The sequence below is a fragment of the Homo sapiens genome, chromosome 9 (genome assembly GCF_000001405.40).
Source record: "Homo sapiens chromosome 9, GRCh38.p14 Primary Assembly".
Taxonomy (NCBI): domain Eukaryota; kingdom Metazoa; phylum Chordata; class Mammalia; order Primates; family Hominidae; genus Homo; species Homo sapiens.
Genome location: NC_000009.12, coordinates 101,264,349 through 101,291,219, shown reverse-complemented (window position 1 = coordinate 101,291,219; position 26,871 = coordinate 101,264,349). Strand labels below are relative to the sequence as shown.

Below are 26,871 nucleotides of genomic sequence, written 5' to 3'. Positions count from 1 at the left end.
CACCTTGCAGTTTGATCTCAGACTGCTGTGCTAGCAATCAGGGAGACTCCATGGGCGTAGGACCCTCCGAGCCATGTGAGGGATATAATCTCCTGGTGCGCTGTTTTTTAAGCCTGTTGTCGGAAAAGCGCAGTATTAGGGTGGGAGTGACCCGATTTTCCAGGTGCCGTCTTTCACCCCTTTCTTTGACTAGGAAAGGGAACTCCCTGACCCCTTGCACTTCCCGAGTGAAGCAATGCCTCGCCCTACTTTGGCTCGCGCTTGGTGCGCTGCACCCACTGTCCTGCGCCCACTGTCTGGCACTCCCTAGTGAGATGAACCAGGTACCTCAGATGGAAATGCAGAAATCACCCATCTTCTGCGTCACTCACGCTGAGAGCTGTAGACTGGAGCTGTTCCTATTCGGCCATCTTGGCTCCCGGATCAGGAAAGGATCGGATTCATAGTGTTTTAACTTTTCACATATCATGAATATTCTCCATGAAAAATTCTTAATACCATTTTCTGAGGTTGCAACTTATAATGGCCTCATTTTTTTAAAAAAATTAGAGATATCTAACTTAAAAAATAATTTTAGTCCACAAAAATTAATCTACATTTCTGATTGTTTCATTAGAATGGATTATTTGCAGTGGAATTTGGGGTTAAAAAAAGACCATTATTTGTAAGGTTATTGAAATACACTGTCAAATTGCAATGCAGAAAGGGTTAAATATCAATTTAACCAGAATTGTATTAGAATCTCACGTTTTTTCATCTTTTACAGCATAAAGCCTTATTTTCTTAAAAATGAATTCACTGGCCTTTTTTGCAATGTGGAGCTGATGATATTTCTTGGAAAATACTATTTGTAGTAGATTGTGGAATAATTACATAAACTGCAAGAGAAAATTCATGCCATTTCAGGTTCATTAGAATGGCTAGTGGAAACAGTTGTCATTTTCCAATGTCAATTGCGTAGTATGTATTTTGGTAGCTTTGGGGCTAGAAAAAAGACGGTTAAGCTCTTCAAAATAAGTTTTTCTAATATATTTTGATTACTCCCTTATTTTACTCTAATTTTTTCCAAAGAAAACATTTCCATTTAAAGAGTCTTTATTGTAAGTAGTACCCTTTCTTGTGAAAAAAATTCACATATACTCAGAGTAAGTTACCCTTCTCAAGATTAATAGATGCATTCCTTCACCCCTCCTACAGGAAAAGTCAGAACAGACTTCTCTGGCTTTCTCTTAGAAATTACCTCATTTATGCACTTTAATTTCCTAGGACTAAGCTGAAAGTGGTAATAAAGTTAATTAAACAGAAGGCAAATGAATACTTAAGAATCAGCTTTTATGAAACTAGTTTTAGGCAAATCCATGATTTAACAAAGTTTATCTTTGCTTTTCATTCACCCTAATAAAGACATACCTGAGGTTGGGCGATTTACAAAGCAAAGAGGTTTAATGAAGAACTCACAGTTCCATGTGGCTGGGGAAGCCTCACAATCATGGCAGAAGGCAAGGAGGAGCAAGTCATATCATACATAGATGGCAGTGGGCAAAGAGAGAAAATGAGGAAGACGCAAAAGCAGAAACCCCTGATAAAACCATCAGATATTTTGAGACTTATTCACTACCATGAGAACAGTATGGGGGAACCACCCCCAGGATTCAAGTTATCTCCTACCAGGTCCCTCTCACAACATGTGGGAATTATGGGAGTACAATTCAAGATGAGATTTGGGTAGAGACACAAAGCCAAACCATATCAACTCTCAAAAATCATTTTTTGGCAACCTATGTACCAGGTACTTTGAAGTATGCTGTTGACATGGAATGAAAAAGATACAACTTCTGTTCTCCAAGCGATCATAAATTAATAGGAGTAACAGATTTAAGTAATTATAGTAATATGAGAAGTGCCTATAACAGATGTAGGTGCAAGGCTCAGTGGAGGCCTAGAAGACGAGGCAACTAGTTGATGGGATTGGTAAACAGGTAATGTCTAAACAGCATTCTGAAGATGAGTAGGGTTTGGCCAGCTTGTAAAGTGAAGGGGTAGCAATAGAATATTCTAGGCTGAAGGAGCAGCACATGTGCAGGTACTGAGGCAAGGTGTCACACTTTCCTTTGGAGGCCATGTGAAGCCGTTTAGCATGATGGGAGAGGGCCTCACAAGGGAGTGGCTCGGGATGAGGCTGGAGACATGTGAGGACCTCAGATTGTGAAGGGCTCTGTAGGCTATGTTAAGGACACTAGAAATCTATTGAAAGGTTTTAAGCAGAGAATTGACTTGCTCATATTTTTGCTTCAAAAAGCTCAATAGCTACAAAACGGTCAATAGATGGTAGCTTTGTGGGGCTGGGGTGAATGCAATGATATTGCAAAACAAGATATAGGGAGACAAGAACTTTTAATAACCTAAACCAGTGGTTCTCAAACTTTCCATGCATCAGAATCACCTGGATGACTTGCGAAAACACAAATAATCAGACTTAATCCCTACATTTTCTGATTTAGCAGGTATAGAATGAGGTTTAAGAATTTCTAACAAGTTCCCAGATGGCGTAAGGTGTCTCTCAGGTTTTTTACTTGAGCAACTGGGTGGATCCTAGAGTCATAAAAAACAAAAGAGGGAAAGCGTGAAGGAAGTGCTTTTTTTTTATTTTTTTATTTTTTTACTAAACCCAGCAATCCCCTTTGCCTTTCAATGCTGTTTCCTCTAATTCTCCAAAGTTTAAATGTTATCTTTTGGCTATCTCTCTGCTCTAGCATCCCTTCCTTAGAAGCAGAATCTCATGATGCTGAACTCTAACTCACCTTATTTGAATGTCGCTGGCTTATCCTCCCAAGGTCCAGATCTCTATTAGCTTATGACAGACCCAAACGGACTAATGTGTCATTGATTATAAATGGGAATTTGATGCTCCTCCAGCGTGACAAATTTCTACTTTAACGGTGGTCTTTCTGAACCATGCCTCTCTCCAATGTGGTGTCTCAAGTGGGAGTTTTGGATACCACAACAGACAATCTAGAGGACTGGTTCCTGGATGGTGGTGATCTTCTGGCATCCCTCAATAAACAGAGACTTGTGCTACCAATGCATAAAGGTCTATATAAATGACAAGTGCCAGTCAAAATTTTTATTCCTTGGACCCTGCTCCAAGTGGGTGGGTCACAAAAGGTATAATTTATCTTTGCCAAGGGAAATAACTGACTTTAAAAGGTATTCCAATTTAATTGCAATAAATCTCTGCTTTAAATAACTTGCTTTAATTATATATACAGGAAATAGATCGGACAGTAGTCATAAAATCTTCCCTGAATCAAATTATGTACGTGTGTGTGCATGCGTTACTCCTGGGGAAAAGTTACTTTACCCCATTTCCTGTCAAGATTCTTCATATGTACAACTAGGACTATGAAATACGTTACAGGGGCCGGGCACAGTGGCTCATGTCTGTAATCCCAGCACTTTGGGAGGCTGAGGCAGGTGGATCACCTGAGGTCAGGAGTCCAAGACCAGCTTGGCCAAGATGGTGGAACCTCGTCTCTACTAAAAATGCAAAAATTATCCAGTCTTAGGGACAGGCACCTATAATCCCACCTACTCAGGAGGCTGAGACAGGAGAATCGCTTGAACCTGGCAGACGGAGGTTGCAGTGAGCCGAGGTCGTGCCACTGCACTCCAGCCTGGGGAGAGAGCAAGACTCTGTCTAAAAAATAAAATAAAATACCTTACAGGGTTTTGGGTAGATTAAAAGAAATAATTTCTGTAAAATGTCTAGTTCAGTGTTCTGTATCATAAATATTCTCTTCTCTCCTCATTTCCCCTTGATGATCTCTTATCTTGCCCCTCTGGGAAGTGATCAAACTCTGGACATCTTTGGAAGGAGCCATTGTTTGGAATGAGTGAACTAGATAGTAGTGGCATCATATTGATCAGGGTATACCCTGTAAGCCAATTGCAAACTTGCATAATCTGCAAAAACTTTTATTCTGCAAATAACATCAAATGCCTGAGACTATTTTAATGTTAAGGGTTACTTCTTTTAAATTAGATTTTCTTAGGTTTCCCACTGCACTATTTCTTTCATTTCCACTCCAACCAGACAAGTTATTGCATATTTGATTTTGATGTGGTATTTGCTTATTACTTGAAGAAATTCAATCATTTCCTACAACAGGAAAAAAAGATTAAGGATTACCAAAAGGCTTGACAGCATGCTGTATTCTGACCCTCACTTTCTCAGTTGTCAGTTCTCTTGTTTTAAATGGTATCATGGCTCCCTTAAAAATCTGGTCAGGAGGTATTTGTAGGATCTCATTAGAATACTGTAATAGTTATCATTTATAGAGTACTTAATGTGTAGGAACTTTGTAAGATCTCTATTCTTACCTGTACCCATACACATTTATTCCCATATCTATAATTATTAATCACTAGCACCTCAGGAATTTTCATAAAAGTCCTAGAAGGAGGGATGTAGAATATGCCTTCATTATTCCCTATCATGAACACTAATAAAAGTATTTGTTTTCCAACTTTGAAAAGGCATTATTTTCAAGAACCTGATGGCTGAGATTTCCCACTCTTTGTTAAATTCCCTGCATAACAAAATTACTGGATGGGAAGTCTGTCAGGAAATTTGACTATTTCTAAATTTATTTTATTGGCGTCCCCTGATGCTCCCCCACCCCAACCCCTTGCCTGACTCTGCTAAAAGGTATATAGCAATATCCAGCCAATATTAAAACATACGTCCAGGGGAATCTCAGATAACTGCTATGTGGGGGGAAAATCAGTTGAAATCATTCATAAGACAATTTAAGAAGTACCATTTCGAGAGTCAAAAATTTGATGTGGCAGTAGGATCAGGAAAATCCCCAAAGCAGCCCTTGCTTTTAATGTTGATACTTCCATAGTTTATTTTACCAAGTGTTTGCCTTTAGTAATTTTACTTTTATGTGAGAGCTTAGTTCAGCACCATCTTGTACTCACCTGTGAATCTTATGATCCTTCGAAGTAAGGGGTTCAGGTAACAGCATTCTCCGGTCAGAATTGTTTTCTCCTGAGCAATCAGGGATTCTCTTGTTGATTTTATGAAATACATGGATATCTCACCAATAAAAATCTAGGGAAGGAATGTTTAAGAAATGTCAAGTTGGAGATCTGTTTGATAAGAGAGGCCCATGGCTTTAAAAACAAAACAAAACTGTTGAGGACCCACAATCATTTTAAAAGATGTTGGAGAGAGATGGTGAATTAGATCGTAATTTGCATTTAACACTTCAAAAGAATTAGAGAAAGTGATAATTGATCATTTCAGATAGAGTTTCAGCCTATAATATTAAAATCTAAGGTCACATGGAAACAAATTGAAATAATAAGTTGTAATAGAATTTATGACAAGGTTCATGCTGGGATTGAATTCTTTTTTAACTTTCTGTGTGAGTAGCAATGATGAGGAATGATTCAGACAGCCAATGTGCCCAAGAAGGCATTATATACACACATCACAAGAGGTGACAGTAAGACCTCACTTTATATCAACAGGTTTGTGAAAACTGGAACTTTAAGTGAAATGACATACTGTATGCTATAAGAATTTAACTCTTCTTTATATCAATTAGTCTATGGTAAAATTAGTTTTGTTATATAGCATGTTGTTTTGCTTAAACTTGCAGTTTCCAAGAACCTATCCACCACAACATTAAGTGAGGACTTTACTCAACTGCATTACTTTATTATGTGCCATTACAATTATTTACATTCTAAATTCTTATTTGATCACAATTGCCTCAGATATATTTCTCCTACCCTGAACTGGTTGATTAGCCCTTCTTTATTATAGGCATCTCTCTCGTTAAACTAATAAATATATGTTACCCTTTAAATTATAATGCCCTTAGGTAGATTAGAAGCCCCCTAATAGCAGGGACTACATCTTAATAACTCTTTAGTATCCTTATGGCACCCAGCACAGTGTATTCCCATTTAAAACAAGGAATTGGTAGAGACAAGTTTTCATGAACAATGACACTGCCATAACTGAAGATCGAGACTCATCAAGGAAAAGTAAAAGGTTAATTACCGTTATCTATTAAATACTGGGCGTTAGGCACTTCAGCATAGTCTTTTCAGGCTCACAAGATCCCTCCTGCAGGCATAATTATCCTTGCTTTACTGTTGAGGAGTGACAGTTTAGCAAGTTTAGGTAATTTACCCTCCAAAGCATATGGATGGTGCATGGGGCACAGGAATTAGTATACACGTCAATTGGATTCCAAAGTCCACACTTCCCACTATTCATATGCCATTTTGATTTTCCTAATCCTAATTTTAACATTTCCCCAGAATAATGTGATCTCATAGATGATCATCTTTGCTGTACATAGACCTGTGATTTTAGAGAAAATTTATTAATGTTTTAATTCCATACCTTATATTTCTCCTGTCATGCTGGAATGTCTGTTTAGATGGATAAAGATGATGACATAATGAAAGGCACATGGATAACAGAAATTAAAAAGTATAAAATTTCAAAACTGGAATCATTTATAATGTTCTCCCTTTATGGGTTTCAGGAACTCGGACACACACAGACAGATAGTATCTGAAGCATCTCTAGAACACATGCATTAAAGTGTATGTACACTGTGATGTTAATAAATCTAGCTAATTAACATATGCATGATCTTACATAGTTATCATTTTTGTGGTACAAACACTTAATGTTCACTTGGAATTTTTCAAGAATATATTTTATTAATTATAGTCACAGTATTGTGTAATAGATCTCTTGAACTTATTCCTCTTGTGAGATCAACTTCTGTAGATTCCACATCTACAATTAGAAGTGAGATCATGCAGTATTTGTCTTTCAGTGCCTGGATTATTTCACTTAACATAATGTCCTCTAGGTTTATCCATCTTGTCACCAATGACAGAATTGCCTTTTTAATGGCATATATGTCACATCATTTTAAATCCAGACACTGAGGCAGATTCCATATCTTGGCTATTGGGAATAATGCTGCAACGAATATGGCAGTTCAGATATCTCTTTGATATACTTATTTCATTTCCTTTGTATATACACTCAGTAGTGGTATATAGATTGCTACTAGATCAATGGCAATTCTATTTTTAATTTTTTGAGGCACCTCCATATGGATTCCTATACGATGGCTGTACTAACTTACATTTCTACCAGCAATGTGCAAGTGTTCCCTTTTCTCTATATTCCCACCAATATTTATCTTTCATCTTTTGATAATAGCCATTCTAACAGGTGTGAGATTATATCTCAATGTGGTTTTAATTTGCATGTCCTTGATGATTAGTGATACTGAGCATTTTTTTTCATATATTTGTTGGCCATTTGTCTTTTGTCTATTTAGGCCTTTTCTTCATTTTTAAATTGGGTTATTATCTTGCTATTGAGTTGTTTGATTTTCTTATATTTTAATAATCTTTATTAGACATATGGTTTACAAATACATTTTCCCATTCTGTAGGTTGTCTCTTCACTTTGTTGCTGGTTTTCTTCACTGTGCAGAAGCATTTTAGTTTGATGTAATCCCATTTGTCTATTTTTGCTTTTGTTGCCTGTGCTTTTGGGTTCATATCCAGAAAATTATTGCCCAGACATATGTCATGAAGCTTTTCTTCTATGTAAGACCTCATTGCTTTAGGTATTACAATTAAGTATTTAATCCATTTTGAGTTGATTTTTGTATACGGTGTGAGATAAAGTCTTAATTTTACTCTTCTGCATGTGGATAGCCAGTTTTCCTAACACAATTTATTAATGGACTGACCTTTTCCCATTGGGTGTGCTTGACACCTTTGTTGAAAATCAGTTGGCTATAAACGTGTGGATTTATTTCTGGGTTCTGTTCTATTCCATTGGTCTTTCTTTATATGCCAATAGCATGTTGTTTTGGTTACTAATAGCCTTGTAGTATATTTAGAAGTCAGATAGTGTGATGTCTCCAGATTTGTTCTTTTTGCTCAGGATTGCTTTGGCCATTCTAGGTCTTTTTTGATTGATGACTTTTAGGATTGTTTTTTCTATCCTGTGAAAAATATCATTGATAGCTGGGTGTGGTGGCTCACGGCTGTGATCGTAGCACTTTGGAAGGCTGAGATTGGAGGATTGCTTGAGGCCAGGAGTTCAAGACTAGCCTGGTCAACAGAGCGAGATCCCATCACTATAAAAAATGTATCATTGATATTTTGGTAGCAAATGAGTTGAATCTGTAGATTGCTTCATGTAGTATTAAACATTTTAACAGTATTAATTCTTCCAATCCATGAACATAGAATATCTTCCCATTCTTTTGCAACTCCAATTTCTTTCATCAATATTTTATACTTTTCATTGTAGATACTTTTCATCTCTTTGGTTAAATTCCTAAGTATTTTTTGTAGCTATTATAAATAGGATTATTATTTACTTTTTTTCAGATAGCTTGCAGTTAATATATAGAAATGCTACTGATTTTTGTATTTTGTTTTATATCCTGCAACTTTACTGAACCAGTTTATTCTAACAGTTTTCAGTAGAGTCTTCAGGGTTTTCTGTATACAGGATGTCATATGCAAACAAGGAAAATTTAATGTTTTTGCTTCCAATTTGAATGCCTTTTCTTTCTTTCTCTTGCCAAATTGCTCTGGCTAGGACTTTATGTACTATGTTGAATAGAAGTGGTGAGAGTTACCCTTGTCTTATTCCACATCTTAGAGAAAAAACTTTCAACTTTTCTCCGTTGAACATGAATTTAGCTGTGAGTTTACCACATATGGCCTCTATTGTATTGGGTTACATTTCTTTATACCTAATTTGTTGAGGGTTTTTTAAATCGTAAAAGGATATTGAATTTTGTCAAATCATTTTTTTGCATTTATTGAAATATATAGTTTTTGTTCCTCATTCTTTTAAAGTGATGTACTACATTTATTGATTTGTGTATGTTGAACCATCTTTGCACCCTTGGGATGAATCCCACATGATCATGGTAAATGGTCTTTTAAACTGTGCTGTTAAGTTTGATTTGTTAGGGTTTTTTGAGCATCTTTGTATCTATGTTCATCAGGAATGTTGACCTGTGTTGTTGTGTCCTTCTCTGGCTTTGGTATTAGGGGAATGCTGACCTTGTAAAATGAATTTGGAAGTAGTCCCTCCTTTTCAATTTTTTTGGGAGAGAGTTAGAAAAGGTGCGATATCAGTTTTACTTTAAATTTTTGGTAGAATTCAGCAGCAAAGCTGTCAGCTCCTGGGCTTTTCTTTGCTGGGGGACTGTATATTATTGATTCAATCACCTAGTTTGTTTGGAATTTCTATTTCTTCATGATTTAATCTTGGGTAGGGTGTGTGTTTCCAGAAACTTACCTGTTTCTTCTAGGCTATCCAATTTGTTGGTGTATCATTGTTCATAATAGTCTAATATGATCCTTTGTATTTCTGTAGTGTCAGTTGTAATGTTTCCTTTCTCATCTCTGATTTTGAATCTTTGAATCTTCTCTTTTTTCTTGTCTAAAGGTTTATCAATTTAGTCTATCTTTTCAAAAAAGCAACTCTTCATTTTGTTCTTCTCTATTGTTTTTCTAGTCTCTATTTATTCTTATTTTATTAATTTCTGGGTTCTCTATTCTGTTCCATTGGTTTAGGTGTCTGTTTTCATGGCAGCACCATGCTGTATTGGTTATTATAGCTCTGTAGTATGATTTGAAGTCAGGTAATATGATTCCTCCAGTTTTGTTTTTTGCTCAAGATAGCTTTGGCTATTCTGGGTCTTTTGTGATGTCATATAAATGTCAGAATTATTTCTTTTCTATTTTTTTGAAGAACATCGTTGGTATTTTTATAGGAATTGCACTGAATCTGTGGATCACTTTTGGTAGTATGGGCATTTTAACAATATTCTTCTAATCCACAAACATGAAATGTCTTTTAATTTTTTGTGTCCTCAATTTTTTGATCAGTATTTTATAGTTTCATTGTAGAGCTCTTTCACTTATTTGATTAAGTTTATTCCTAGGTATTTTATTTGTAGCTATTGTAAATGGGATTATTTTCTTGATTTCTTTTTCAGATTGTTCATTGTTGGCATATAGAAATGCTACCATTTTTTTGTTTGTTCATTTTGTATCCTGAAATTTTATTGAATTTATGTATCAGTTCTAATAGGTTTTTTTTGGTGGAGTCTTTAGGTTTTTCCAAATATAAGATCATATAGTCTGCAAGGAAGGATAATTTGACTTCCTGTCCAATTTGGATGTTCCTTCTTTCTTTCTTTTGTCTGATTGCTCTAGCTAGCACTTCCAGTCCTATATTGAATAACAGTGGTGAAAGTGGGCTTCCTTATCATGTTCCAGATCTTAGAGGAAAGGCTTTCAGTTTTTGCCCATTCAGTATGTTACTAGCTGTGGGTCTGTTTTATATGGCATTTATTGTGTTGAGGTATGTTCCTTCTATACTCCGTTTTATGAGGGTTTTTAATTATGAAAGGATGCTGAATTTTATCAAATACTTTTTTCAGCATTAATGGAAATGATAATTTTTTTCTTCATTCTGATATGATGTATCACATTGATTGATTTGCATATGTTGAACCATCCTTGCATCCCTGGGATAAATCCCACTTGGCCATGATAAATGATCTTTTTAATGTGTTGTTGCTAGTATTCTGTTGAAGATTTTTGCAACCATGTTCATTAGGGATATTGGCCTGTACTTTTCCTTTTTTTGATGTGTCTTTGTCTGGTTTTGATATAAGGGCAATACTGGCCTCATATAATAAGTTTGGAAGTATTCTTTGCTCCTCTATTTTGCAGAATAGTTTGAGTAAAATTGGTATTAGTTCTTCTTTAAATGTTTGGTAAAATTCAATAGTGAAACCATCAGGTCCTGGGCTTTTCTTTGCTGAGAAGCTTTTTACTATGACTTTGATCTTATTACTTGTTATTGATCTATTCAAGTTTTGGATTTCCTCATGGCTCAATCTTGGTAAGTTGTATATGTCTAGAGTTTATCTATTTTCTCTAGGTTTTGCAATTTATTGACATATAGCTGCTCATAGTAGTCTCTAAGGATCCTTCTAATTTCTGTGGTATCAGTTGCAATGTCTCTTTTTTCATCTCTGATTTTATTTGTTTGAGTCATCTCTTTTCGTCTTGGTCTGGCTAACTGTTTGTCAGTTATCCTTTCAAAAAACCAACTTTTCATTTAATCGATCTTTTGTATTGTTTTATAAATTTCATTTATTTCTGCTCTGATCTTTATTATTTCTTTGCATAATTTGGGTTTGGTTTGCCCTTGTTTTTCTAGTTCTTTCAGATGCATCATTATGTTGTTTGTTTGATGTTTTTCTACCTTTTTGCTGTAGGAGTTTATTGCTATAAAATTCCCTCTTAGTACTGCTTTTGCTTGATTCCATCCACTTTGGTATGTTGTGTTTCTATTTTCATTTGACTCATAATATTTCTTAACTTCTTTCTTATTCATTGATCCACTGATCATTCAGGAACGTATTGTTTAATTTCCATGTGTGTGTATAGTTTCCAACATTCCTCTTATTGATTATTAGTTTTATTCCATTGTGGTCAGAGAATATACTTGATATGACTATTTTTTGAATTTAAGACTTTTTAATGTCCTAAGATATTACCTGTCCTTGAGAATAATCTATGTGCTGAGGAGGAGAATGTGTATTGTGTTCCCACTGGATGAAATGTTTTATAAATATCAAGTCCATTTGGTCTATACTACAGATTAAGATCAATGTTCCTTTATTGATTTTCTGTCTGAACTATCTGTCCAATGCTGAAAGTGGGGTGTTGAAATCACCAGCTATTTTTGCATTGAGGTCTATCTCTCTGGCTCTAATAATTTTTTGCTTTGTATATCTGCATGCCCCAGTGCTGGGTGCATATGTATTTACAATTGTTACATTCTCTTGCTGAATTAATCCCTTTATAATTATATAATGCTAAATATAATGTTAAATTTCTCATTGTGCTCACTTACTGTTTTCCTCATTTACTTGTATTGTTTTTCTGTATTTTCTTGAAGTTCATTGAGCTTCCTTAAAAACAGTTATTTTGAATTCCTTGTCAGTGAGTTCGAACATCTCTATTTCTTTATGGTCAGTTAGCAGCATTTTATTTTGTCCCTTTGGTGATATCATGTTTTACTGATTGTTCTTGGGGCTGCGTATTGAGATATACACATTTGTAGAAGTAGGTACTTATTCCAGTCTTTGCAGATTGGCTTTGCTGGAAAAGCTCTTCAACAGTCCATTCAGAGATTTTGGACAGGCCATTAAGCTTGGTTCTGAATCGCAGGGTCACTACAGGGGTGGGGTATGCCCAAAACCTGGGGCTGCTGAGGCCTGCCTGCTGCTCTGGCCTGTCCAGATCCTATAGACACTGAAGTCAAGCCAGCGGTAGTACAACTGGGAGACCAACTCTGCCTCACAGGCTTGAAGTCTGGGACTGCAGGGTCCCACCCAGGACTGGGACTCAGTTTGTGGATACTACTCTGGAGTCTGGGGCTGTGGGTGCCTGCCAGCCTGCCTGATGCTGGATTTCGCTGTGGTGGGCCCAGGGTTGGGGTCCAAGGCAAAGTCCTGTTCTCACACCCCTCTCTTTCCCCCAAGTGGATGGTGTCTCTCTCAATGTTGTGATGGTTGGGGGAGGGGTGGTGCAGGTAATGTAAAATTCTCCTTTCTACCATTTTCAATGCATCTTTTATTATTATTGTGTTCCAACCAGTTACTCTGATCTCTCGCCTGGTTTACTTAGCTCTTGTGAAGGTATTACTATTTTAGCGCATGGATAGCTGCTCAAGTTGTTTCAGTTGGAGGGGGTATGATTACTGGATAGCACTATTCCACCAACTTGCTCCATCCCTCTTCTTCACAAATATTTTAAAAAACATGTGGTACGCAATAAATAACTGATATCAATACAAAAAGTTTAGAGGAAGTTTTTAGATTTCAGAATATAAACAGTCTGTGGAAAAAACTAGTCACTGAAAGATGTATTATAATTTTGTATTTTAAGGAAATTTCACTGCATGTTATATGTGGTTGCAATTTAAAAGGGCATTTAGAATTCCCAGAATACATATTTTGTGGTCATACATATGCTAGTTGTGGCTCTAGTACTGGGTGATATCAAAGTTTTTGCTGTTTCCTGAATGCGGGCTTTGGAGTTGAAATCTCAGCTCTCTCCTTTATTGATGTGTGATTTTGGGTAACTAATGGAAACTTTTTGAGGTTCAGTTTTTCTTTTTCTAATGATTTGAATATGAAAGTAGTGACTGTATTACATAGTTGTTGAGAGGATTAAAAAGTGAATGTAAAAGCATATATATATGTCCTATGTTTTCTGTTTGTACTTGCTGGTCTACCCAGGCAAGAATGTGTGTTGAAACAGGAGAAAGAAATCATTGTGCCCAGTCCTGGAGTAAGGAAATATAGTGTAATTCTAGCTCGACTCTGCCCTAACCAGGTGTTTAATTTTGGACTAGTTGCTTGACCTCTTTGGGTGTCAGTTTCTCATCTGTCAAATGAAGAAGTTTTACTACAGGATCCCTAAGGTGCTTTTTTAGCTCCAACATCTTTGCCATTATGATAGGAGCCAAAAAGAGAGGGCTCGTTAAGGGAAACTGAAATCATGTAACTGGGCTTCAATCGCAGTTCAGTCAGTTAAGCTCTCCAAGGCCAGCGTGATTTCTTGCATTGCTTCTTCCTTCAGCCATCATTTCCTTCTACAATCCCATGGGCCTTCACCCTTACCAAGTAACCTTCCCTGAAAGCAAAGTAGACACAGCCTACCCCAAGTCATCACATTTGCTGATATCTCTGTCACTTTGGGTTGTTAAAGGACAGCAGAGGCTGGTGATCAGATTTTGCCCACACTCTAGATATTCTAACACTCTGAGGAAGAGGAGAGAGTTCTTTATATACTCCCCAATATTAGTCTCTAAGTAGTTTCAGGGCTCTCAGTCTTACGGATTTTTAGATACTTCTAATATTCTCCCTGGGAGGCTTCAATAGTAATAAACATCTCCAAGAAGGCAGAAATGGTTTTTGTTTTAGATTTTGTTTAAAAGTTACCCAGGAGATTTTCAACCTATAGACCCTGCTGCTAGCCCTAACTGCCAATGTCTCCATGCTCCACTTTAATCTTTCCTGATGAGTGCTGTCACATTGATAACCCCAGACCTGCAGAGAGCTTCCTGTCCCCTTACTTGCAGAACTTTGGCTAGTTCAAGAGCTCTTAGGTGTAAATGATGCAATTCAGCTCTAGACACTTCCTATGCGTTTCAAAGCTCAAGGCTTAAATGGAACCAAGGCTGTTTGGATGATTCTGAAAAGAGTTCAGTAAATGGGATAATAAGTGTTTTTGTAAACTGGAGCCTCTCTACTGGTCTTACTCCAGAGGCCACATCCACCCGTTCAGAAGGTGTCTTTAGGTGGCACTTGATATAAAATAGAGCACCAGGGCGGTATCATATTTCCAAAGCATAGTGTTCTCTTATATCTTTTTATCTGAACAGTGAATACAAGAGAAATGGGAATTTTAAATGAGTTAGCTAAAATACTACTTTCAGTAAAAAGTAAAATGCATTGAAGTAAAAATAGAGTAAAAAGTAAAATGCATTGAAAATCACATATTTTTAGGCAAACAATATTCTCTCCAAGAAACAAATTGTCAAGTTCCTTAACATAATCATCTAGTCATCAATTATTAGGAGGGGTATATTGAAGATGGAAAGCATATCTCTTGGTGGCATGATGTCAGGAGAAAAACAATCTCTAAAGGAGATTTGGAGCAGTCATCTGCAGTATGGACAGAAAATGAGAAAATGGATTTAAGTTTTTTAAAAAATCCACAATAATTAATGGGCATATCTAGAAATTTTTTCCAGAAAAATGTAAATTATAAACACTGAATATATTAGCAACAAAGAAAATGTTGTGAATTTTTTTTTAAAAAAGGAAGTCATGTGATAATGTACAAAAGGGAAAAAAGATGTGAATTATAAAATGTTATAAAGAGTTTCAACAGATGAGGTTGTTCAGAGCCTGGAAAAGGCAGATTATGAGGAAGTACAAGACCCTACAATGTCTCCTTTGCTTCGGCAGCTGCACCCCTCGTCAGCCAGCCAACAGGCTTGCATTATTGAGAGCCCACTTTGTGATCTGCACTGTGCTCTGGGTTTTTACATTTGCTGGAAGAGCTTACGGCCCAGAAACCCCCAAATGAAGATTCACAATTTTCTCCAAATTGTGCCTTTCTATCAAGTTGTGTTTGTCTCTTCCTTTCCTAGGAAATTCTAGATGAGTCTTGTAATGCATGCGCGCACACTTGCATACAAAATGTGAGCTATTTCAATCCTCGGGCTGGAAGTCATGTTCTGCTACTTCAATACTAAATACTCCCCTGTCACTTCATTGTGAAGCCAAGAAAAAAGGTTTAATAGCCATTTTTTTCATGCCTTGTGCTGCTGGGGCTGAGATAAAATGAGGGTAAATCAGATTCTCTGCTGAGTAAATCCTCTTATCCAAACAGGCTCTCTTCCTTTGACTCTGAGTGTATGAGTTTATTCAGAAGGCCTGAGGCAGTAGTTAGCCAGGGTTTCCAGGTGGTCAGAACATACCCTGCAGATTTCTTTCAAGCATAGACTGCCACTTTGGGCTAAACGGGGACACAGTAAATCCCCCATGCTCTAACCTTTCCTGAAGATCTGGGACAGCAGTGGCCTTGGCCTTTTGCGATTTATCCCATGTGGCCGTGTCTCAATATGATGCTGATCTTTTCTGACAGCAAAGCACAAAAGGAGAAATAGGAAATGACAGGTTGAATATACAGCAGAGTCTTTCCCCTCAAGCATTTCTTGTGCATCCCTGCAATTGTGAATGGGGTCATTAGTGCACATCTGCAGACGCGCAGCAGTGCAGGGTGCTAGGTTCTTCCATGGTCAATGTGCTTGAGGGAGCACAGAAAACCAAGGACAGACAAGTCCACATTGAGCTACACTTTTGAGATTTGATGTTAGTTAGTGTCTCACAGATCACCCAAGAGGCGTCACGCTTCATTATACTCCATAGAGAACAGGAAATGGTTTTAAGAAGGAATAAACAACTGTGCAGTTCTGTGAAACACTTAATCCGGCACAGAGGTGCAAAATCAAACTCCAGAAAGAGAGTCATGATTTGGGAGTTTGGAAGCCTCCAAATGTTAGCTTCTGATGAGAATGTTCATTTTTCAGTTTTCATGGAATCTGAGAACTGGCAGGTGCTTAGAGATCATTTAGCCTAACCATTTCTTTTGGGTACAGATGAGGAAACTGAACCCACAGAAGGAACATGGCTTATCAGAGGTCACACAGTTACTGGGGGCAAAGCTGTGACATGAGACCTGCCTCTCTAGTCTTATTAAACCTGGGAAAAGATGACTGCATTGTGAGGAGAGTGGAGGATGCATACTCAGAAGCAGGAGTGTGTGCTGAGGTGGGCACTTGGGAGCTGCAACAGGTCATACCTCACCAGGATAGGACAGGAGAAGTGAATGCAACTCCTTGTTCCCAGGAAACTGTTCCCATGAAACTTCCCTGAGCATTATCAGAAAAGGTCTTCTGTTTTCTGTCTTGCTGCTGCTCATGTATTTTTAGGTCTTGAGGGAAAATCAAGCGCCATTAGCAGGGTAGCAAGGCCACGCTGCTCTTTGCCATTGACCTATCAGCTGCAATCAGCCCTGGTTCCTACCAATGCCCCTCATTTGCGAGGAAAATAAGTGGAACCAAATGGGTGGCTGTCTAATCATGTACAGAACCAGGTGGAACCTTCAGCAAATCATCTAACCTACTTGAGTCTCAACAGTCTCAACTCAAAATGAAAGAAATTGGACCACACACTTTCTCTATGTTCTTTGGCTGTTCTGAGGATAAATTAGGCCATGTCTGCAGAATATAAGTATATTAAAAGATGTTATTCTTGTGACCATCATTTATGTAATATATTTGGGGGGTTTGTCAGTATTATCAAAGGAATGAAAAAGCTGAATCGGGGTTTCATAATCGAGAACTAGAGTAGAACTGTAGGTGCTTAATGCTCTGTCCACTGACCAAATCACATTGACTTCCATGGGAGCAGTTGTACTACATTTCAATTTGTGTCATTTGGGGAAAATGAATTAATGGAAGAGATAAGATCAAAAGCTGTAGCCTGGAGAAGAGCTTCTGCTGAAAATCTTAAAATAAAGAAGACCTATCACTTTTACTCTGAGAGGAGAGAAAATTCTTTGTAAAGTTTTGGTGATGTATGTTTTTATTAGAATTGCCATTTTCAAGTCTTATTAAAGTTTGGTCATTTTGTAATTATTGCCAAAAGAAATGGACTATATAATTTGTTTTAGAGGTATGTCTTTGGTTTAAAACCAATATACATTCATGTAGAATTTGGAAAGAAATATATAAAAGTATAAATGAAGAACAAAAACTAACATTACCATTCAGAAATAATAGTTGAAAATGTTTACTTTCTTTCTATTCCTTTTATAATTATAAATTTGGGATTATACTTGCAACATCCACAATGTATCTTCTTAGGATATGTTAAATATTCAGATCCACAGACTACATTTGGTGCTGGTCCACTTGGAAGAAACCACAGCTTGCCGGCAGGGTAGCATTGCCTGCTTATCTTTAGCACATGTCCTTGCAGTGGTCCAGCAGAACAATACAGCTCAGGTGAATGGGGGCTACATACATTTCAGAGGATGCAGGAATTACCCTGGCTGAAAAGCCACATGCCCTGTAGGAGTCAATATATGGTGTAACAACTCCATAGGCATAGTTTCCGGGGATCCACAATAGATATGCCAAGTTACCAGAGTCACTGTTATTGGAAGTCATAGCAGAAGCACTCTCTCAGGTCATAACAGTTATCTGAGAACAGATGCAATTCACCAATAAGGGCTCAATTTTACCTGGTGACATAATTGATACATATTATCTTTTTCTAGGGGAAACAGGCAGAAAATTGTGAGGTCAGATTCTCTTACAGAAGAGAAAAAGATCTTACCCACAATACTGCATACAATTTTTTGGCCTTAAAAAATCCTAATATTAAATTACAAACATGTTCCATCATTACTTAAGGTGTTTCAAAAACATGGCTGGCACATAATGTATTAAACCAGTCTGGTATTGTGTATTTAGCTAGTTCCTAGTTTCTAATTATTAAAACTATTACTGACATGAACATCCCTATATACAAATCTTTGTATTTTTATAAATCTAGAAAATGTAATTAATGACTGGGTCTGAAGTTTATTAAGCTCTTAATACATCTTTAACAAACTGCTCTTCAGAAAGAAAATATTGGTTTATGCTTTGACTAGAATTACATGAAAGTCTCTACATTTTGTAAACATAGACTAAGTTCTTTGAAAACATTTGCCAATTTTATATGAGAAAAATGCTGTATCCTTTAAAAAATGATTTTTCTTTGGTTAGTGATGAATTTAGAAATACTTATATGCACACAGTCTATTGATTGCTGGTTGTTAGTTGTCTATTCTTGTCCTCTCTCATTTTGATTTTGGGAAGCTCATCTTTTTAAGTATTAAGGGTATTTACATTTGAGTCTCCTATGTGGCAAACTTTTTTGCAGTCTTTACTTCTGATGGAAATTTTTATTCTTAGGTAGGCAAATCTACCAGTTTGTTTTTATATGCTTGCATCAACACTGCTAAGTGAGTTATTGTTACTATTCAGAGTGCTTTTGTGGGTATTTATGTGGACTCACTTTCTAAGCGCTTTACATACATATTTTTCTTGTTTGTAATATGCACGGAAAAGTTTTTCATTTATGAAAAGGCCTTGAAACATTTTATATTGTTTGAGATTTCTTATTCCTCAAATGTTTGAGGAAAATTATTCCACAGCTGTGTGTCCTGAGTACTATTTTTTGAGAAATATTTTGGCATGTTTAAAATTTTATTCTGTTGGCATTCATATATTCAGCTTTGCTACATCTTTTAAAAAATTTGATATAAGGCATCACTAGTAAATATCTTCATAGAGTTTTCAATTTTATTGAGATGTAAGCATTTATTGGCACAGAATTGTATATACAACTTAAATAAGTCTTAAGTTTATATTTTCATTTTTAAGTATATGTTTTCTTAACTGTATTTGTATGTCTGACTTTCTATTATAGACTAGCCAGGCAGATGTACATTTAATTTATTAATTCTATTTTCTGACTAACTTTCTGCCACAATTTTTATTAATCCATTTCCTTCCCTTTTTTATATTTTTTTAAAATGTAAAACAATCTCTATAATTATAAAAAGTAACTAAAGGAGAACCTAGGCAACGATAAATGAAATTTCCTGAGACTGGGAAGAAGAGAGGAAATATGTCAGTAAGTCAATGGATCACTCAGGGATGCCTGTCTGAATACACAGGAAAGCGATATGCTTATGAGACAGGAAGAAACCAGGACCCAATTCTAGACTGAGCCCACAGCCTCCAGGTAGAGCCACCATGAAACCATACCAGACAGAACCGAGTCTGGCCTCCTAGTTTTACGTGGGGTGTGGAGTGTGTCACATTGTGAGGTACATGGAAAGGTGTCCTGTATGCTTTCTCTTATTCTGTAGGCTGGTAAGAGACATACAGAGATTACCCTTCCTCTGAGGAATGGGCATATCTCCCTTCACTCTAGAATTGGAGAGAAGAGGTCTTAATGAGGGTTCTCAGTGGAATTTCATTCCTTTCAGAAGTAGGAAGTTGGTCTGTGATTCCAAAGAGGGCAAAGAGCAGTTCCAGCCAGGTTTTTTGTTTCCCTGTTCCTGAACACTTCGTAAATGCCAGGCACTGCGCTAAGTCATTTCTAAGCCCCACAGCAACGCATGAGGTAAGCATTCAGTTGTCCTTATTTTGTATGGGAGGGAACAGTGAGGTGACTTGCCCAAAGTCAGGATGTGAATCCAGGTGTGTTAGGCAGCAAAGCTTGTTTCTTAGTCCTTCTGATACATCATGTTGTGGCTCATCAATGCTGATCTTAGTCCTTACAGCACAGTCCTATCATTTAAGGGAGAGCTTTGTAGAGCCTGGGGTCAATGAGCCAAATGAATTTATTATGCCCATATTATTTATCTTCAAAATTCTATTCCATTTCTCATCTGAAAGCAAGCAAAACATTGGCACAAAAAACTAATATTCGAACTGAATATCTAAGCAATTGCTATATTCCTCGGCATGCCAGTCAGTATTTTTATTACTGCCGAATAGAGGGCAGGTAGGGGAGGAGGGAGCGTTCAGGGAGTCAGCTGTTAGAAGAGAAGGAGGGGAATGGGAACTAAGATCACATCCTGACTAATCTGACCTTATGGCATATTTAGGCAGAAACACTTAATTTAAAACTCCCCCAAATATCATTTTAAAAAATAAAAATTAAAATGTCTAAGTGTTAAATCACTTGACCAGGTAACACAGATCTGCAAACTTTATGCTGTTAAGCAATCTCTGTAGAGGACTGTGTGGCCCATTTTTTGCCTCATGAAAGGGAAAATGAAATATATGAAGGTAAAGTTGCAACTTAATTTAATGTGATGTAATGTGAACAGAGCCAGAGCCATCAAGAATGAATCACAGCAAACTTCAGGTTAAGCAATTTCTCTCATCTCTGGTGTCTACGGAAGTTCAATGAGAACAGCAGGAAATATCGGCCTGAGGGATTCTATTCTACTCTAATCTCAGCCATTATATCAGTGCCAGCACTTACATTCAGAATCTCTTGTGAATACTTGCAACTCATAGCATATTTTTTCAAGAGGACAATAGCTGTTCTTAACACATTAGCCAATCATACCTGTTGATTTATAACATTCTCACATGCTTTTTAAAAAAAAACATCTTTTTAAAATTCAGATACCGAAAAACAAAAGCCACCCATACAAGACAAGACCTATGTTAATGAGTTTTTCTGCAGAGCTCCATTCACTCTGTTTTGGCTGAAATAGGATGCCACTGATAAAACTGCTGGTGAATGCTCAGGAAGAGAAGAAAGAGGAGAAAAAGCAGACAGAAAATATTCTTGGGTATCTGACAATAAAGAGGAAAGTCTATTTCTGTACTTACAATAGCAGTTGGGGTGGCAGCCAGCACACAATAGAGCACCAGAGGGGTGATGAAGCTTTCTTCCTCTGTCCCTGGGTAAGGCTTCATTAAGTCTCCGTCCTGACAGAAGAATCCTTGGATATGCACCTGAAAAGTGTCAGTGCATTCGAAGTAGTAGGCAAGCAGCACTGTCCCAGCCATGATGACAAGCTGAAAATACAGCATGGCCACACAGAGACATTAGCAGGGCTTCGGAGCAGCCCTTGCCCCTCAGAGCACACTCCCTCCATCACCCCAGCAGCGGCTCTCCTGATATTGGTATTGGCGAGTGTGTGCGTGCCAGGCGCAGCGTGCTCTGGGAGTGTGTGCTTGCTTGTCTGCCTTGTAACATCTGTTCTATAAACCTTCCAGCAAATAATGAGCAGCTCCCATCTGAAAGGCAGATCCCAGCCAGGCTTGTAGAGAGCTTCAGCCCCTGCTGCCACCCTTTCAGAGTCTCAGAGTATGCACGGGAACCAAGGCACTATAGCCATTTAGGACAGAGGTGAAAAGTCAAAAGGCAGTGGCAAAAGAGTTGTCAAGACATAGATGTGAGAACTGTTCATGAGCAATTTCATATAATATTACAGGTAGACTTACCTTATGAAATATGAAAGGTAGGTAAACCACGAGTAAACGAAGGAATGGACAAATGAAGAAATTAACAGGAAAGCTAAATCCTAGATGGGTTAAGGGAAATTTCGACACCCTAAGTTATTGGCAGGTATTCTACATCAGTCATAACTTTTATCTTTTTCCAAAATGGTTTCTGCCAGTAAGTCAAGGACTTTGCTGATGATCGTATCTTATTATAGAAATATAGCCTTCGTAAGATTTAGACAGACATAAAAAAAAAAAGACACAGTTATCCTTTTGTTTTGACTCAGATGTCCTAGATACTCACCGAAGTTTAGATATAGTTTTTAGCAGGTATGTGGAACTGAGGGGATATGGAAATGTAACATGTTTTTCCATTCATATTTGGAAATCACCAATGCCAAGATAAGATGGTGAATAAAGGTAGATAGAAAATACATTTGAGGTCATGAAATTACAGAAACTTAAGCTGGGGGATATCTTAGAGTTCTTCCTGTCTGACACCTTTATTTCATAGATGAGGAAAGTGGAACTGACCACTGCCTGATTATCCAAAAATTAAACTAAACATGTGCTTAGATTGAGCATTAACAAAACAGGCAAACTAAAATGAAGAAAATATATTTTTAAATGTTGATTTGTTTAAAGGTATCAAAGTTATGAAAAAAAATCAGAACTTGGTAGGACATCTTTAGATATCTATGGCTTAAAGTTGTTTGTATTTTGAAGTACATATAAGGCAGTAAAGGGAAATCATAATCTTTTCAGGGCTTAAGAAGACTAAAGTTCTTATTTCAGCCCCAGAATGACTAATCCAAGGCCACACAGCTGGTTAGTGTGAAAGCCAGGACTAGAAACCCACATTTCCTGATCTGTAGGAAAAAAGCAAAAGCTGAGCTGTATCAGGATCTAAAACTGCATCTTATACGAAAAGGTAGAGAGTGATGGGGGAGGCAAAGTAGCTAAACTCTAGCACAGAGAGGCAATTTTTGGCATCCTCATCCATTTTCCTATCCATTGCTTTAGCCACAGCATTGAAGCACAGCCTTTACCCTCTGCCCCACTATAAACCATTCTCTGGAACCAGCACAGCCTCTACTTCTGGGATAGTAATTCTGCAACTCTTCCATACAGTAGCAGATTAGCATCATTTTCTTTTTTCTTTTTTTTTTTCACATCAAAGATTTTATTTTTTTTATGTATATTTTTATTTTACTTTAGGGTACATGTGCACAATGTGCAGGTTTGTTACATATATATACATGTGCCATGTTGGTGTGCTGCACTCATTAATTCATCATTTACATTAGGTATATCTCCTAATGCTATCTCTCCCCCCTCCCCTACCCACAACAGGCCCCGGTGTGTGATGTTCCCCTTCCTGTGTCCAAGTGTTCTCATTGTTCAATTCTCACCTATGAGTGAGAACATGTGGTGTTTGGTTTTTCGTCCTGGCGATAGTTTGCTGAGAATGATGGTTTCCAGCTTCATCCATGTCCCTACAAAGGACATGAACTCATCATTTTTTATGGCTGCATAGAGACTCTGTCTCCAAAACAAAACAAAACCAGACAGAAGTTTGTACTTGAGACACATTATAACAGAGATACCAAAGAGGAAAGGCATCAAAAGAGGAGAAATTGGAAGGACAGGGAAGATTCTTAATTCAAATGATCCACCCACCTCGGCCTTCCAAAGTGCTAGGATTATACAGGCATGAGCCACTGCACCCAGCTTCAAGTACAAATTTCTAACCATCTTATCTAAAGGTGTTTACCTTTTAGCTACATCCATTGCTACCTTTCCTTTTATTCCAATTAGGCCACAAACCATCTCTTCATTCACTAGCCCTTACACATGACTTGTTTCTGACTGTTTATGGATTACATTCTTCTAGTATCTAGCGTTTTCTGCTCCCAGAGATGTGGATCTCCAATCACAACTTTGGACTGTCCAGTAATCTCTGGACACTTCCATGTGTTTTTCCATGCTTGGAGTTGTTTATTGGGGCCACATGTAAATCACCAACCTTTATGCCAGCCTTCTCTGCTGTTTGAAGTAATTGGTTTATTTATTTTCCTTATAGCAACAGAGAAGAGACTTGGATAAATATGTTTCCTGAAAGATTGAGAGAGATACTCCAAAGCTACCCCTACTAATAGGTGCTCCTGATTGCAGCTAGTTTATAAAATCAAAGCTATGAAGTTACTGTTTCTTTTATGCTTGACTTGTTAAGTGAGTTGACCTGATGGCAAGGAACATAGCCAGTTGACTTGATGTTTTGAAGATGAAATAACACCAGGCTTCCAACAGTTTTAAGGCTCTGTCTCTGGAGTTCCGTCTGTCCCCCTGCAAAGGGCTGATCTGGGATTTTTGTGTGTGTCATGTGTCTCATCCATGTGGCTGGAAACAATTTTGTCTCTCTTGGCTTCATCAGCTCTTGGGAGATACCTGAATGGGAATAGGCAAGATCTATGGGGGCTTCTGGATAAAAAAATAAAAATCAAAATGACATCTAGCTTCCTCTTTCGTAGGAAGAGGATTGTATTTTATGGGTATCTTTGTGCTACCACTTCCTTTTTCTAAAAAAAAGTGAAAATGAGGTAAATGAAAGCAAAAACTTATACATAGGAAAAGAACTCAAGACAAACACAAGGAATGGAAGCTCTTAAAACAGAACTATCTTAACACCAAATACACTGAAATAAATGAAGATCTAACAACAAAGAAAGCATTACATGCCTAAATTTGAGATCTATAGAACAAATCTTGAATAGTTGCCTAGCTGATTTAATCCCGGAAGCAGCATTCAGAGAGAACTGGATAAATTAAAAGTTTATAAAAATTTGCAGGACATAAAGAACAGAGAACCTTGGAGACCCAAAGGGTGGTAGTGGTAGGTGGGAGCTTCAGCAGCTTATGTGACAGAACTGACCACCCACCACGAGCATGAATTGGCTTGCCTTGGCTCTTCCCCCGAGCAGCCAGAAGCCAGAAACTCTTCCTTGTAATTTTCTTTTTCTTTATTTCTTTCTTTCTTTCTTTCTTTTTTTTTTTGGAGACAGGGTCTCATTCTGTCTTCCAGGCTGGAGTGCAGTGGCAGGATCTCGGCTCACTGCAACCTCCGCTTTCCCGGTAGCTGGGATTACAGGTGCATGCCATCACGCCTGGCTAATTTTTTGTATTTTTAGTAGAGACAAGGTTTCATCATGTTGACCAGGCTGGTCTCAAACTCTTGACCTCGAGTGATCCATCCATCTCAGCCTCCCAAAGTGTTGGGATTACAGGCGTGAGCCACCGCGCCCGGCCTTCCCTGTCATTTTCAAGCAATCCTCAAACTCCCTGGGAAGTCCCCCAATAATGCTATTTAGAGATGCACAGAAGCAGAAATAGAACAACTCAGATTTTGATTTCTAGTTGATTTTCTATTGAACATTCTCCTGTGACCTTTTTTTTTTGAGGCGGTGTCTCGCACTGTCGCCCAGGCTGGTGTGCAATGGCACAATCTCGGCTCACTGCAACCTCTGCCTCCCAGGTTCACACAATTCTCCTGCCTCAGCCTCCTGAGTAGCTGGGATTACAGGCGCACACCACCGCACCCAGCTAATTTTTTGTATTTTTAGTAGAGACGGGGTTTCACTATGTTGGCCAGGCTGGCCTCGAACTTCTGACCTCGTGATCCGCCTGCCTCAGCCTCCCAAAGTGCTGGGATTACAGGCTTGAGCCACCGTACCCGGCCTCCTGTGACCATATTTTTAAAGGAAACTGATGCACATACTGCAGGAACAGAAACAACACACATTGATTCTGTCTCCATGAGCAGAGAGATCCATCTCACTGCACTGATGATGCCACACAATTAGCCATCAGCATACTCCTTTCTTCCTCCCTGTCCTGAGATATGATTTATCACTGTCTATGTTTATGTCACTGGTGCCAGCTGGCACACTTGCTATCTCTGTTGCCTTCCTCAGCTCCATTTAGGAATGCATGGAGGGAGGCCATAATGTTGGTGTCACATGAGCAGATGGTGAGGCCATGCTGGGTGCAAGTACTGGTGGAAGGGTTGAAGATGTCAGTGTGAAAGAAGCAATTATGGCTGTGGGAGTATAACAAGGTGTAAGGAGCTCATGTACCAGGGACTTTCCTCAGCTGTTGCTTTCCAAGAATGACAATCCAATATAGCAGTAAAAAATGCATTAAGTGCTGATCATTCCACGAGGCTTCAGAAGGCAGAATCCAGCAATATCTGAAATTCAGCTTCCTGTGGTTAAAAGCACTGTGTTTCTACCAAGGCCCTTTGCTGGTTAAAGAAAAGTAAAAATGTCAAGAAGAGCAATAATTGTGAAGGTCACAAAGCTGAGAGAAGAGGATGAGAACCTTTTCCAACAGGCTGTTAAGTCTGGAGGAACTGTGGACCAATAATTTATATGTCCTGATACAAGCTGGGGAAACAGGGAATCAGATAATGATGGTGTGACTCATGTAAGCCTGTGTGTCCAGGGCAGTAGGACAGAGGCAAGAGTTTGGAATGAGAGTATACATGAAGCATCTTGTCTGAAGTGTAAAGGGCATCCTAGTGCTAGGTGATCAACAATCCAGTTTGTTCAGGGCTGAGGGGCTTCCTGGGGCACAGGACTTTCAGGGCTAAAACTAGGATGGCCCTGAGCAATCTGGGGTGACTAAACACAAACAATGAACCAAGCACAGACAAACCAGAGACAATATATCTGTCCCCAAAGAAGTTTCTCATTCTGGTTCGGCCATGAGCTATCAAAGCTAGTCAATCAGCAACTCTTCTTGTGAGCTGCCTCTGAACTCAGTCTAAGTGCTGTGAAGGTGAGGAATTCTCAGACATGCTCTCCAACCCCATGTAATTTGTAATCTACCTGGGGCATGCCCACCAACACAAGGAACAACAAGTCTTCTGTAGGAGGTTGTCTGCTGATCCCCAGTGGGAGTTATGCGTGGCTGCAGGTGCCTGGTGAACTGGTTGGGAGGGGACTTGATAGAAGGAGAACAATGGAAGGGGGGATATTGCATGAGGGAGAAGAGGATGCATGGGGAAGGAGAGGGCTGTGTGGTGTCTGCTTAGGGTATTGGTT

At 38.2% G+C, this 26,871-nt stretch overlaps 1 protein-coding gene across 2 annotated transcripts in view, besides 2 other annotated features; it reads right to left on the bottom strand.

Moving 5' to 3' along the window:
* The window catches only part of PLPPR1 (phospholipid phosphatase related 1), a 296,409-nt gene that overhangs the window by 33,916 nt on the left and 235,622 nt on the right, over positions 1-26,871 (bottom strand). For both annotated transcript variants that reach the window (NM_207299.2, NM_017753.3), the window contains exons 3-4: positions 21,152-21,340; positions 4,984-5,116 (exon numbers count right to left, since the gene is read on the bottom strand). In NM_207299.2, the coding sequence (NP_997182.1) occupies positions 4,984-5,116; positions 21,152-21,340 (322 nt within the window). The remainder of the gene's footprint in view (positions 1-4,983; positions 5,117-21,151; positions 21,341-26,871) is intronic.
* Positions 20,452-21,188: an enhancer, noted in NCBI's record as "NANOG-H3K4me1 hESC enhancer chr9:104032314-104033050 (GRCh37/hg19 assembly coordinates)". NCBI's record gives its function as "activates a minimal SCP1, AML or CMV promoter by ChIP-STARR-seq in naive H9 embryonic stem cells {active_cell/tissue: H9 hESC(naive)}" and the evidence as "EXISTENCE:reporter gene assay evidence [ECO:0000049][PMID:30033119]".
* Positions 21,189-21,926: an enhancer, noted in NCBI's record as "H3K4me1 hESC enhancer chr9:104031576-104032313 (GRCh37/hg19 assembly coordinates)". NCBI's record gives its function as "activates a minimal SCP1, AML or CMV promoter by ChIP-STARR-seq in naive H9 embryonic stem cells {active_cell/tissue: H9 hESC(naive)}" and the evidence as "EXISTENCE:reporter gene assay evidence [ECO:0000049][PMID:30033119]".